Here is a 14,360-nt window from a genome sequence, read left to right as displayed (position 1 = left end):
AAAAAAAGGGGAAATCTGGCTGGGTGTGGTAGCTCACACCTGTAATCTCAGCACTTTGGCACTTTGGGAGGCCGCAGGAGGATCACTTAAGCTCAAGAGTTCGCGACCAACCTGGGCAGCATGGTGAAACCCTGTCTCTACAAAAAATACAAAAATTATTCAGGCATGGTAGTGTGTGCCTGTAGTCTCAGCTACTTGGGAGGCTGAGGTAGGAGAATCATCTGAGCACAGGGAGGTCAAGGCTGCAGTGAGCCATGATCACACCACTGCACTCCAGCCTGGGTGGCAAGGGTGACCCTGTCTCTAAGGGGTAAAAAAAGAAAATCTGACACATGCTATAACATGGATAAACCTCAAAGATGTTATGTGAAGTGAAATAAGCCAGTCATCAAAGGATAGATACTGTATGATTCCACTTACATGAGGTCCTAGAGTAGTCAAATTTATGGAGATGGAAAGTACAATGTTGGCTGCCAGGGGCTGGAGGGAGAGGGCAATGGGGAATTACTGTTTCATATGAAGAGTTTCTATTTTCAAGATGAATTCTGGAGATGGATGATAGTGGTGGTTGCACAATAGAAATACTTAATGCCAGTCAATGTACACTTTAAAATGGTTAAAATGGTAAATGTTATGTTTATGTGTATTTTACAATTTTAAAAACCCTATTTTTTAAAATAATGCACTGAAACCATCAGCTTTACATTCCTTAGAGCAGTGGTTAACACAGCCATGACTTACTTATGCAGCATTTGCAGTGACTGTTAACCATAAATACTGCTGTATCTTTGCTCTAGTGTCATGCAATACTCCAACACACCATCTTGAGTGGCCCAGACCATCTTCACTGTTAGGAAGGAAGGTCTCATTTCCCTGACAAGCAATCTTCCCATCCCTGTCTCCTGCTGGTTTTATCTTTCCTTCTCTCCGCAGTGCATCTTCCTTGGAAAGGAAAAATTCATTAAAAAAAAAAAAAAAAAAAAAAATGGCCAGGTACAGTGGCTCATGCCTGTAATCCCAGCAATTTGGGAGGCTGAGGCAGGAGGATCCCTTGAGTCCAGGTGTTTGAGACCAGCCTGGGCAACATAGGGAGACCTCATCTCTACAAAAAAATAAAAAAGATAACCAGGTATCGTGGTGCATGCTGTAGTCCCAGCTACTGGGGAGGCTGAGATGGGAGGAGCACTTGAGTCCAGGAATTTGAGGCTGTAGTGAGCAATGATTGTGCTGCTGCACTCCAGCCTGGGCGACAGAGCAAGACCCTCTCTCAAAAACAGCAACAACAAAAAAAAAACCATTAAGAGAAAAATATAAGTTAATTTGGAATTTTATCACATGAAAATCTAAAGTAATTGGCCTGAAATACAACTAATATGTAGACTAGATCATTCCCTGATGGCCCTAGGATAGCAGAAACACTCATGATCAGAGTACATAATCGTAAGTGTATACTACTTTAAAAAAAAAAGAAGATCCCATGGTACCTTTACTTATCTTCTGAAGACTAAATAAAAGTCTTATGACTTTTTTGACTGAAATATTAAGAGAACTATAAATAGATTAAAATAATTAAGGTACACAGGTATAAGAAATAGTAGAGATTCCTTATACACTTTGTCCAGTTTCCCCCAATGGTAACATTTTGCAAAACTCAAGTATAATCTCACAACCAGGATATCGATACTGATACAATCCACAGATCTTATTCAAATTTACCATCTTACCAATACTCATTTGTGTGTTTTTATGTGTGTATTAAGATCTATTATTATTATTTTATTTCCCATTTACATGTATGTATCTACCCCTGCAAACAAGTTGTTAAAACAGTTCCCAAACCACAAGGATCCCTCTTCTTGCCCTTTTATAACCATATACACCTCTCCCTATCCCTCAACCCCTGGCAACCACTAATCTGTTCTCAATTTCTTAATTTTGTAATTTCAAAAATGTTATGTAAATTGAATCATACAGTAGTATGTAACTTATTGGGATTGTCTTTTTTGCTCAGACTATTTCCCTGAAGAGTCATCCAAGTTTCAAAACTTTGTTCCTTTTTATTGCTAAGTGGTATTCCATGGCATGGATGTACCAGAGTTTTTTTAACCATTCATCTACTGAAGGACATCTGGGCTGATTCCAGCATTTGGCATTAGAAATGAGGCTGTTACGAACATTCATGTACAGGTTTGTCAACTATTCCTAAGACTTTTAAAGTTCATTTCAGTAATTCTGATTTTGAAAACTTTCCAAGGCATATCTGATTAAAACAGAAAAAAGAATATTCCTTTTTTTTTTTTTACTACCTTGTACAACAAGGAATACAGTACTGGTTTTTAAGTGTGGAGAAAGGTTTAATATTTAAACAATATAGCCTTAATAAAATAAATATACTCACCAATAAAAGCACTATCAGATTCCAATAATGAGTTTTTCAAGAAATCACTAGTGTCATCTCTGGGCTAAAAGAAACATGTTTCAATGACTATTTTTATTAGTTTTGTGTACAAAAACAACAAATTTATACTAAGAAGAGGCACAAGTTTCCACACTGTTCTCCCTAAAAGCAGAGGATGGGTAGAGGTAGGACTGACTACATTCCAATGCTCAGAAAATACTGGAAAGCCTTAACACACACAATTCCTACGAAGACGGTGATAGCAACAGAAGACAGTCTCTCTCCAGGCTACAGATTCTACAAGCTAACACATTTACTCCCTAGCTCCACTCCTTCCTGCCCCTTTATGGTTGAAGTCAAATAAAAGGATCACATTATGACTGATGGAAAATATAATACAGTATGAAGCAAAGACCCCAATTAAACATTAAGTCTTTAAGCCACTGCCAAGATTCATTCATCCGAATTTCCATAAACCTGTATAGCCCACTTACTATTTCTTTCATGCTAGGAACTGGGGATACAAAGATGAATTAAGAGTTTCTGCTCTGGAGTAGATCACAGTGTCATGGGAGAGAGAGGGGTATACTCTCAGATTATGACAGCCCTATGTGACAGCAATTGCCACAATGATGCAGCACAGATATAGTGGAGCATATAGTATAGTAACGAAAAAAAATGCTAAGATTGGGCTTATTATAATGAGCTCCCAAATTAGAGAAAACTTAAATTTACATATAGAGAATTTTGCAGTACAGAATAATAACCAACATGTCAGAAGGAACCTAAAGTCATCCAACTCCACCTCCCTGCACCTTCTTACCAGATAATCTGGGCTTCAGTAGGACACTCCAGCAAAGAGCTGTCCATTAATTTTTAAGGCAATGAATTACAATGATGCACTGCATTCTTTAATCAGAAAGTGAGCTTGTCTCTTGCCTAAATTACTACAATAGCCTCCTGTCCCACTCAGTCAAAATGCACAGCAGTCAGTGGATCAAGTAAAAACCTCAAGCAGATCATGTCACTCCTCCACTTAAAGACCTTGGCAGCTTCCCATCACATGCACAAGTGTCAAAGGCAAAGTCCCAGAATGGCCCCCAAGGCCCTGCTGCCTCCCCTCGTCACCCCCTGCCCCATGTGCCCAACTGGCCCTTGCTCATGGCTCTCCCACTGCTCCTTACATGCACTAGGCCAACTTCCACTGGGGCCTCTTCCTGGAATGTTCTTCCTCCAGAAGTTCCCCCACATTTCCCATAGACACCTCCCTGATGTCCTTACTCAAATGTTGCCTACCCAGTGAGCCCCCATGCCCACTGTATTTCCAACTATAAACCCTCCCACCCAGGATCCTCCAGCTGCCTTCTCTGCTGTTGTCTTCTCCACAGCACCATGATTCAAAAAACTATTGATTTATTTGATTACTGTCTCTCCCTCCTTCTGGAATGTAACCTGTCACAGGACAGGGATTTTTGTCCCTTTTGTTTACTCCTATACCCCGGCACCTAGAACAGTTTCTTGTCCATAGGAAATAATAAATATTTGTTGATTGAAAAGAGCTCATCCTGTCCCTTTATTCAGTCTTGCACAAAAAGTACCCCCCTCAGGATACAGGTGGGTGTTATCATTCTCTGTTCCCTTCCTTTGCTTATTTTCTTTGTAGACCTCAACACTACTTCCATAACAGACTCCTACTCCCACTACTGCTCATGGTAATGACAGCAAACACTCACACTGCACTCATAATGGGCCAGGACTGCTGTAAGGGCTTTTAATATATTATCTCAGTTCTCACAACAGCACTTGAGCTATTTTTATTTATTTAATAAACACTTACATAAAACTTATATGCCAGGCCTGTCTCTAAGTACCTTGCAAATATTAATTTATGTACTATTATCCTCATTTTACAGATTAGGAAGCTGAGGCATAAAGAGATTAAATAACTTGCCCTAAGTCACGCAGCTAAAAATAGACTCACTGGAACAGCCTAGTGCTAGAATCTTGTTCTTAGCCATTACAATATGTTTTCTATATATATTACACTAACACTTCTCAAGCTATCCACTTTACTGATAAGACTTACGTTCTTAATTCAATATTCCTGAATAATTCAAAATTTGAATTACTTGATCATCATATGCCTAAAGATTTTTAATCCCCCAAAAACTAACTTGAAAAATTGTAACTGGTTGCTTACCATTCTTTGCTCTCGTACTTTAGCACTTGGGATGGCATCTAAGTCAACTGTAGTCAATGGAGAACAAAAGCAAATTAAAAGGTCAGAAAATGCTTACTATATAAATTAAATTTTAGAATATCTTTTTTGACTAGCTCTCTACTGGAAATTACTTTTCAACTATCACACTTCAGAGTATTTTAAAGATATCACTTATTAAAAAACATAGCCCTGCATCCATTCTAGCTGCATAAAATTCTCCCATTCACATGAATGAACATAACAAGTAAAATCATTGCAAATGTAAAACTAATGCCAACAGAAAAAGAAAATGATCAATGCAGGATCCTTCACCATCTTGTCAGATTTCTACAATCTGTAGAAAGTTGTTGCATGGAGTTAAACAGGGGCTCCCTCACATGGAACTGAAATAAGCTCAATTCCAGGCACTTAGTTCCAGAGGCAAAGATCTTGGATCAGGTATCCCAAAGCCTCTCCAATATGACCAGCCTTCCTATGTGTTCCTGTGAATAGTACATTTTGCCCTTTTTAGATACTGCCTTTGAAAATAAACAAGCTGCGAATGATAGCCTGTATTCCTTCTCAGATATTTTAATAGACATGTTTGTGATTGTTTATAGTGAGGCCATATTCTTTTTTTTTTTTTTTTTTTTTTTGAGACTAAGTCTCACTCTGTTGCCCAAGCTGGAGTGCAGTGGCACGATCTTGGCTCTCTGCAACCTCCACCTCCTGGGTTCAAGCAATTCTCCTGACTCAGGCTCCGGAGTAGCTGGGACTACAGGCACACGCCTCCATGCCCAGCTAATTTCTGTATTTTTAGTAGAGACGGGGGTTTCACTATGTTGGCCAGACTGGTCTTGAACTCCTGACCTCATGATCCGCCCACTTCAGCCTCCCAAAGCGCTGGGATTACAGGTGTGAGCCACCACGCCTGGCCAGTGAGGTCATATTCCTATGAATTAGGTCTTCATAGTGTCTACTGGAAGTTGGGGAGTGGCTGCTGTGGGAGATAGATACCTTCAGTGCTAAAATGTACCTGTATCCACATGGGGACTACTTGTGGGCTAATCAGTCTAAGCTGCCAAAATCCCACAAGATCAGATCTTCATTTTGAGACTAAAGAAAAATGCCACCAGACTGGGTACAAAGGTTGAAGAATGCACTTGCTTCTCTCCTCTCTCCAGATGATATACCTACTGCTTATCCTAGAATTAGGCTTATTCTGTCACAGGGCTATGAGGCTGTTATTAAAAATTCTGTACCAGATGAAGGGACGACAATCCCTATACAAATGTTTATTGAAGTCTTGACCTATGATCTGGGCCTAAACTGCTGCATCACTTACTCCTGTGATGCTATCTCATGAAGTCAAAAAATCTTCCTCAGATTCTGCAAGCCAGACCAGCCTCCCAAGATAGGGTCTTAACTTTTCTTAAAAATAACTAGCAGGAGCATCCCTTCCACTCTTGTTATCTGATTGTTGGGTTTTCATTACTCATTTTCCATGGTTAACCTCGATGGCCTGAAGGCTGGTGAAATACAGATGGGAAGGCCATGCAGTACACCTGGCTATCGTCAGGGCCCATCAGTGCTCTCTGAGACAACTAGCCCCACTCTGCTTCTAGGTGCCCACCCACCCCAACCCAACAGCATCCTAGATTTCTTCTGTGCGATATTCATCACAGTTGTACTTCTTTAGCATCACACTTCTCCAACAAAATATAACCTCCTCAAGAGCAGCAGCATATGTCACTCATCACCATATCCCCTGGATATAGGCCAGTACCTGCACTCCTAGTAACCACTAAGTATCTTTCAGTTAGTTGATTATACGAAAACATATTCATAGTCCAGTCTGATGCTTTACAGATTTTACGCCACATCAAAACTTAAACACACTCACACCACAGTAGACAAATGCCTGACATGGCACAGTAGGCAAATGCCCGACACATCATGACAGGGCACTGATATGTCTGCCTGACACTCCTTCCTTTGGTTCCTAGTTCCTGATGCAGACGTCACCTGGCCTGGTCAAAGTATTCAGTCCTCCTGGCTACAGTGAATGACTGGGCCCCTCTCATGCATGAATACACCACCCTAGTGGAGCCACTCAGAGCTCTCTCTCATACTTGTTCTTTTCTGGTACTACAGACCAAACGGACCCTGTGAGCATGGGGCTGCCAGTGAAAGGAGGATGCCTGGGAATGAAATCAATAGAAGAGATGCAGAAAGCCTACGGAAAAACAGCGTGCTGATACTATTTGACACAGCAATGATTATTTCTTACCTTTGGCACCTTCCTGCATTTTTATTCTGTTCAGCCTCTTCTGCTGCTCTCTTAGCAGGGCTTGCTGCTGAATCTCTAAGGTGTGATGATCTCTTGGAGGATCCAGGTACATAAATTTCAGATCAACTCGTGTTTCTGAATCTGGTATAAAAAATATGTTATATAACTAAGTTAAATGTTGTTTTCAAATGGGATTTTGTAAAACTTCACTGTAAGTAACATGAGTAACCTAATTTCAAAATCAAGGAAATGATAGAAATAGTGAAACATCACTAAAGTCAAAGGACAGTAAAATAGCCACAAAACTAAAGAATATGAAATTAATATTCTTTAATAAGTGTCTTTTCACAAACTTACCAACATAAGGAATACCCCAGAACAAGCAGTGGATGTTGCATTGTCCATCTCTACCTGTCCTAGCCCTGCCAGGATGCCACCCAGAACACAGACTACGTGCAGGTATATCCAAGCAGATGGTCACATGGCTATGACTAAGGCAGCCATGAGACACTGTAATCACGGCTGATCTCTAAAATATACTGGAAACGTGAAAAAATAATGTTACTGGCCAATTAATATTTTAGTCCTTACAAATATCATGCAGAAAGCAAGATAAATGTAGACTGGCTGGAACTTGAGGGGGAATGCCATTTCTTTTTTTTTTTTTTTCTTGAGACGGAGTCTTGCTCTGTCGCCCAGGCTGGAGTGCAGTGGCACGGTCTTGGCTCACTGCCAGCTCTGCCTCCTGGGTTCATGCCATTCTCCTGCCTCAGTCTCCCAAGTAGCTGGGACTACAAGCACCCACCACTATGCCCGGCTAATTTTTCTTGTAGTTTTTAGTAGAGACGAGGTTTCACTATGTTGGCCAGGCTGGTCTTGAACTCCTGACCTCGTGATCCACACGCCTCGGCCTCTCAAAGTGCTGGGATTACAGGCATTAGCCACTGTGCCTGGCCAAGAATAAAAATTTTTTAATCTTGAGAAGAAACATACAGTTCATACATATAAAAAGCCTTGAAAATATTATTCCCTTTGACTCACTAATTACACTGCTGGAATATAAAGAAATGATCCTAAATATATATGTAGTTTTATGGTCCTAAATATGTATAAAGCTTTATGATCAGAAATTATCAAAAGAACAAAATAGTGAAAATGGTTAACAGCCATTTTCAGAAGTTAACAGAAGTTTCTGGACACATAAACTTGGATTGGTCCCTGGCTTCACTGCTTCCAAACTCATTAAAAAAACAATACCAACCACCAAGTCATGGGTGAATGAGGGCAAGATGTAGTAACACAGGGAAATGAACAGCCCAATTCTATGGCTTAAACCTTTTTGGTCTCAAGATCTTTTTTACACTCTTAAAAATTGAGGACCCCAAAGAGCTTTACTTATGTATGTCACACACACACACGCCATATTAGAAATTAAAACTAAGAGATTCCTAAAACACAAGAATACACAAGGACACATTTTGCTAGCTTCAAAGAGATGAAATCATTACATGTCATGTAGTCTCTGGCCAATCTATATACACATGAGAGAATGAGAATGAAAAAGACAAATAATGTCTTAGTTTATAATACAAACAGTTTTGACTTCAGACCAAACTCCTCATGAGACCCACTGGGTTAACACAATGCCTGGCAGATAGTAAGTAATCAATATTTGATAGCATAAAAAATAACAGTATACGTAATTGATAATACGTGTAAATCTAGGTGAAAAACAATAGAGAAAATTAAATAAATAACACAATTTATCTTTTTTTTTCTTTTAATTATGCTCAGAAAGACTAGAAAACATCCAAAATGATAATGGTACTTACATATAGGTAGTTTGACTAAAGTGATTTTTCCTTCTTACTATCTTTCTGTATTTTGAAAATTTGCTATAATAAACAGATAGTATTTTCAAAAGGATAAAAAGCCTAAATTCCAGTTTTCTGGCCTACGTCATACGACCACACATCCCATAATCTGCCCCTTCTGCTCCAACACCTGCTCTGCTGAATATGCCTAAAGGAAAATTACACAACACACATTTGGTTCCTCCACACATTCTCCATCTCCCAGGCCTCATGTACCCTGGAAATCTCGTTTCCTTACTAAACTTTCTCTTCCATTAGCCCTAAGTGGCTACATCAAAGCTTCTCCTAACTCTTCCCTCAAATCCCCTAGATTTCACTTCAACAATCACTCTCCCTCTCCTAGAGCCTGAACCTCTTTCTCCTGCATAGCTCCTCACGTTCACATTCTAAGGACTCTTCCAGCTCCTGATCCCTCTCCTTCCCTTCCCTTTCCCAGCCAAGGGTCTTCTAAAAGTCTTATGCCTATTGTCTCCAACATCTTGCCTCCTAGTCAATCCTCATTCCAAAGTTAATCGGCAATCATTCCACTTAAAAAGCTCTAGCTGAGGTCACCAATGACCTCATCCAACTGACATTTTCCGGTATTCACCTTACATGATCCTGTCTCCTTGATACTCCTTCCCCTCAGGTTTCAGGATCCTACATTCTCCTGCTTCTCCTCCAGTCTCTCTGGCTTCTCCTCAGTATTTTTCATGAGCTCATCTTTGTCTGTCCATCCTCCATTAAATGCCAAGTTCCATTCTTCGTACTAGTCTATGCGATCTCATCCATTCCAGACTTTAACACTGTATGCTCTCCAAAAGAAAGCAGTTAGTCAAACTAAAGCTTCATCTACCAGACTGGTTAACTGAAGACCTAGAGAATACATAAGTTTCATTTCATTTTAACTAAAATACATACCATAGATAAAATTCCACTTTAGAAAAAGGGTACAAAGATCTTTATAGATATTTAAATATGGGTAGAACACTTCTGCTACATCTTTAAAAGAGCAGCAATCTACTCACCTCTATCTTTCAGCTCATTAAAATCATGAACATTCTGAAAAGTGGCAGCGTCTAAGCCCTTAGGGGACTGTCTTCTGACAGGAGCTTGCAACCGATGTCTAGCCATATCAAATATATCCATGGGATTCCTTTCCTTTTTCCTATAGATAAATGACAAATCATAATATGTGCTTCACAGGAAAAATAGGTGAGTTCACATCTAATTCACTGTAAAAGAAATTTGGTCTTTTTCACCACATCATATTATTAAAAAATTACTCTAGGACAGGTGCTGTGGCTCACACTTGTAATCCCAGCACTTTGGGAGGCAGACAGGAGGACTGCTTGAAATCAGGAGTTCAATACCAGCCTGGCCTATAAAGCAAGACCCCCTCGCTACAAAAAAAAAAAAAAAAAAAAAATTATGAGGCCAGGCATGGTGTCTCATGCCTATAATCCCAGCACTTTGGGAGGCCAAGACAGGTGGATCACCTGAGGTCAGGAGTTCGAGACCAGACTGGGCCAACGTGGAGAAACCCCATGTCTACTAAAAATACAAAAATTAGCTGGGTGTGATGGCGCACACCTGTAGTCCCAGCTACTCGGGAGGCTGAGGCAGCAGAATCACTTGAACCCAAGAGGTGGAGGTTGCAGTGAGCTGAGATCACACCACTGCACTCCGGCCTGGGTGACAGAGCAAGACTCCATCTCAAAAAAGAAAAAAAAGTTGGCCAGGCATGGTGGCTCACACCTGTAATCCCAGCACTTTGGGAGGCCAAGGCAGGCAAATCACCTGAGGTCAGGAGTTTGAGACCAGCCTGGCCAAAATGGTGAAACCCTGTCTCTACTAAAAATACAAATATTAGTTGGGCGTGGTGGTGTGTGCCTGTAGTACCACCTACTCGGGAGGCTGAGGCATGAGAATTGCTTGAACCCAGGAGGAGGAGGCTGTGGTGAGCCAAGATCACGCCACTGCACTCCAGCTTGGGTGACAGAGCAAGATTCCATCTCAACAACAACAACAAAATTAGTCAAGCATGATAGTGTGTGCCTGTAGTCCTGGCTACTGCTGAGATGAGAGGATTGATTGAGCCCAGGAGGCCAAGGCTACAATAAGCTGTGATCATGCCACTGCACTCCAGCCTGGACAACAGAGGGAGACCCTGTCTCTTTTTTTGAGGTGGAGTCTCGCTCTCTTGCCAGGCTGGAGTGCAGTGGCGTGATCTCAGCTCACTGCAGCCTCCTCCTCCCGGGTTTAAGCAATTCTCCTGCCTCAGCCTCCTGAGTAGCTGGGACTACAGGCGTGCACCACTAGGCCCAGCTGATTTTTCTGTATTTTTAGTAAAGATGGGGTTTCACCATGTTGGCCAGGACGGTCTCTATCTCTTGACCTCGTGATCTGCTCACCTCGGCCTCCCAAAGTGCTGGGATTACAGGCGTGCATGAGCCACTGCACCCGGCCCCCCGTCTCTTAAAAAAAAAAAAAAAATTGGCCGGGCACAGTAGCTCATGCCTGTAATCCCAGCACTTTGGGAGGCCGAGGCGGGCGGATCACGAGGTCAGGAGATCAAGACCATCCTGGCTAACACGGTGAAACCCCATCTCTACTAAAAATACAAAAAATTAGCCGGGTGGGGTGGCGCATGCCTGTAGTCCCAGCTACTCAGGAGGCTGAGGCAGGAGAACGGCGTGAACCAAGGAGGTGGAGCTTGCAGTGAGCCGAGATAGTGCAACTGCACTCCAGCCTGGGTGACAGAGCAAGAAGCCGTCTCAAAAATAAATAAATAAATAAATTATTCGAACAGCTCTATTAGTTCCATCCTTTACCTTAAAATATAGCATATTTATAACGTTATTGAAATTTTTCAAAATCCTCAGATGCAAGATACCTTATTACAATAGAATGATTCAGCCTTACTTTAAAATGTTCATGGAAAAAATAAAATAAAATGTTCATGGAGTATGAAGATCACAGTCTTTGAGGTCAGAGAAACTGAGATTCAAAGACCAGCTCTGTTATTTATTAGCAGTTTGACCTCGATTCCATCATCTGTAAAATGCAGATGTCTACCCCTTATAGTCTTACGGTGAACAACAGAATTAAGATAAAAAAATTTTTTTTTGAAAGAGTCCTGCTCTGTTGCCCAGGCTGGAATGCAGTGGCACAATCTCAGCTCACTGCAACCTCCACTTCCCAGTTCAAGCAATTCTCCTGCCTCAGCCTCCCAAGTAGCTGGGACTACAGGCACGCACCACCACACTCGGCTAATTTTTTTTTTTTTTTTTGTATTTTTAGTAGAGACAGGATTTTGCCACGTTGGTCAGGCTGGTCTCGAACTCCTGACCTCAGGTGATCCATCCGCCTCAGTCTCCCAAAGTGCTGGGATTACAGGGGTGAGCCACCATATCCGGTCAGAATTGAGATAAATGCTATACTGTTAAGTACCTAGTATAGTACCTGACATGCATTAGATAATCAATAAATTACCTTCCCCTCAGCCTAAGACACAAATCACACATAGAAATATGGTAATAGGCAGGGCCCTGTGGCTCACGCCTATAATCCCAGCACTTTGAGAAGCCGACGTATTGCTTGAACTCAGGAGTTCGAGACCAGCCTGGGCAATATGGAAAAACCACGTCTCTACTAAAAAATGCAAAAATTAGCAGGTGTGGTAGCCTGCACCTGTAGTCCCACCTACTTGGGAGGCTGAGGCACTAGAATCACTTGAATCAGGAGGCGGAGGTTGCTGTGAGCCAAGATCATGCCACTGCACTCCAGCCTAGGTGACAGAAAGAGACTCTGTCTCCAAAAATATAAAAAGAAATATGGTACTGGCCGGGCACGGTGGCTCACACCTGTAATCCCAGCACTTTGGGAGGCCGAGGCGGGTGGATCACCTGAGGTCAAGAATTTGAGACCAGCCTGACCAACATGGTGAAACCCTGTCTCTACTAAAAATACAAAAATTAGCCGTGCGTGGGGGTGGGCACTTGTAATCCCAGCTACTCAGGAGGCTGAGGCAGGAGAAACACTTGAACCCGGGAGGCAGAGGTTGCAGTGAGCCGAAGATCATGCCTCCAGCCTGGGTGACAGAGCGAGACTCCGTCTCAAAAAAATAAAAATAAAAACAGAAATATGGTACTAATACGTAGTTCAATATGGGCATTATTCAGAGGACCCAACATTAACTTTACAATGGACTTTACAAGGAACTTGATAACCTAACTAGTTAACTGATTCCTGTGGTACCTAAGAAATTAATAGATAGCAGGTAGTAAGGGTGTTTTCTGCCAGGGCTTTGAGGGAGTGATGATAAAAGAGGGATGGTGTTTCTAGTCCTGAAAATAAAATAAAATAAAATAAAATACCTACTGCTGCTTCAGTCAGCACTAGGTCTCCTCTATTTTTGAAAATGGAGCTCTAAGCTATGGTCATTATGAGGCTTAGTCAGACTCCTCCCATCATTTCTTTATCATTAAATCTTCCCTAAGCACCAAGACAAGATAGCTGGGATCCCCACAGACAATGCCCCTGCTCTAATGGAGTTTCCCTTTTGCAGGGGAGCATTCACTGGGGCCACAAAATGACTCTGGTCAAGGCTGACAGAGACCTCTAATACTTAAGGTGAAAGGAACTCTATGGAGATTTACTATAATGCAAAATACTAAAAAGACATCCAAGAGACCATTAAATTGGACTGCTGTCTAGTTTCCATTAATGCTAATAGTTATACACTGATAAGTTAGGAAGTAGGTTACTAAATCTTCACATGTGAGCCACATCACATTTGTTTTGAGCCTAGCACATAATAGGAGTTGAATATGGCAAATTATTTAGTGAATACAAGATTCCTTTTGTACATATATTCATGAAATTGCAATAAAGAACCAACTCTGAGATGTCTTTAATCAGAATATGTATTAAAATTATTCCAAAGTAAATGTATTTAACCAATTCTTGCTAAATGATGATAAATGTAACATGTTTTATAACTTAAGTTAGAACTTAAGAGTCACAAATACATATATTTATTTATTTATTTCAAATACATACATTTATTTATTCTTCACTAGATTCTCAAAGGGTAGAAATTATCATGTATAATTTTCAAGCGAGAAAATTGAGGCGCTGCTCGAGTACTCTTTCTTAAATCATATTGGCTTGCCAAAAGAATTTATTAATGAAAAGAAAAATTAATGTCAAAAAACCGTTAGGTCTCCCTCTCCCTCTCCCCCTCCCCCTCCCCCTCTCCCGTCTCCCCCACGGCCTCCCTCTCCCTCTCTTTCCACGGTCTCCCTCTGATGCCGAGCCGAAGCTGGACTGTACTGCTGCCATCTCGGCTCACTGCAACCTCCCTGCCTGATTCTCCTGCCTCAGCCTGCCAAGTGCCTGCGATTATAGGCGCGCGCCACCACGCCTGACTAGTTTTCGTACTTTTTTGGTGGAAACGGGGTTTCGCTGTGTTGGCCAGGCTGGTCTCCAGCTCCTAACCACGAGTGATCTGCCAGCCTCGGCCTCCCGAGGTGCCGGGATTGCAGACGGAGTCTCGTTCACTCAGTGCTCAATGTTGCCCAGGCTGGAATGCAGTGGCGTGATCTCGGCTGGCTA

At 41.6% G+C, this 14,360-nt stretch overlaps 2 protein-coding genes across 38 annotated transcripts in view; one reads left to right on the top strand and one right to left on the bottom strand.

Moving 5' to 3' along the window:
• ARFGEF1 (ARF guanine nucleotide exchange factor 1) overlaps positions 1-8,814 on the top strand; it is a 170,271-nt gene extending 161,457 nt beyond the window's left edge. For both annotated transcript variants that reach the window (NM_001413186.1, NM_001413187.1), the window contains exon 39: positions 6,753-8,814. In NM_001413186.1, coding sequence (NP_001400115.1) covers positions 6,753-6,770 — 18 coding nt within the window. In that variant the 3' untranslated portion in view covers positions 6,771-8,814. The remainder of the gene's footprint in view (positions 1-6,752) is intronic.
• The window catches only part of CSPP1 (centrosome and spindle pole associated protein 1), a 132,247-nt gene that overhangs the window by 14,290 nt on the left and 103,597 nt on the right, over positions 1-14,360 (bottom strand). For 35 of the 36 annotated variants that reach the window (XM_011517598.3, XM_047422253.1, XM_047422245.1 and 32 more), the window contains 4 exons: positions 9,770-9,909; positions 6,889-7,029; positions 4,599-4,645; positions 2,399-2,462 (listed from right to left, as the gene is read on the bottom strand). In XM_011517598.3, coding sequence (XP_011515900.2) covers positions 2,399-2,462; positions 4,599-4,645; positions 6,889-7,029; positions 9,770-9,909 — 392 coding nt within the window. Of the gene's footprint in view, positions 1-2,398; positions 2,463-4,598; positions 4,646-6,888; positions 7,030-9,352; positions 9,557-9,769; positions 9,910-14,360 lie in introns of those variants that run through there. The other variant, XM_047422258.1, reaches the window with a different exon arrangement.

Source organism: Homo sapiens, chromosome 8 (assembly GCF_000001405.40).
Source record: "Homo sapiens chromosome 8, GRCh38.p14 Primary Assembly".
In the NCBI taxonomy this organism is placed as follows: Eukaryota; Metazoa; Chordata; class Mammalia; order Primates; family Hominidae; genus Homo; species Homo sapiens.
This window is presented reverse-complemented; position numbering and strand designations above follow the sequence as displayed.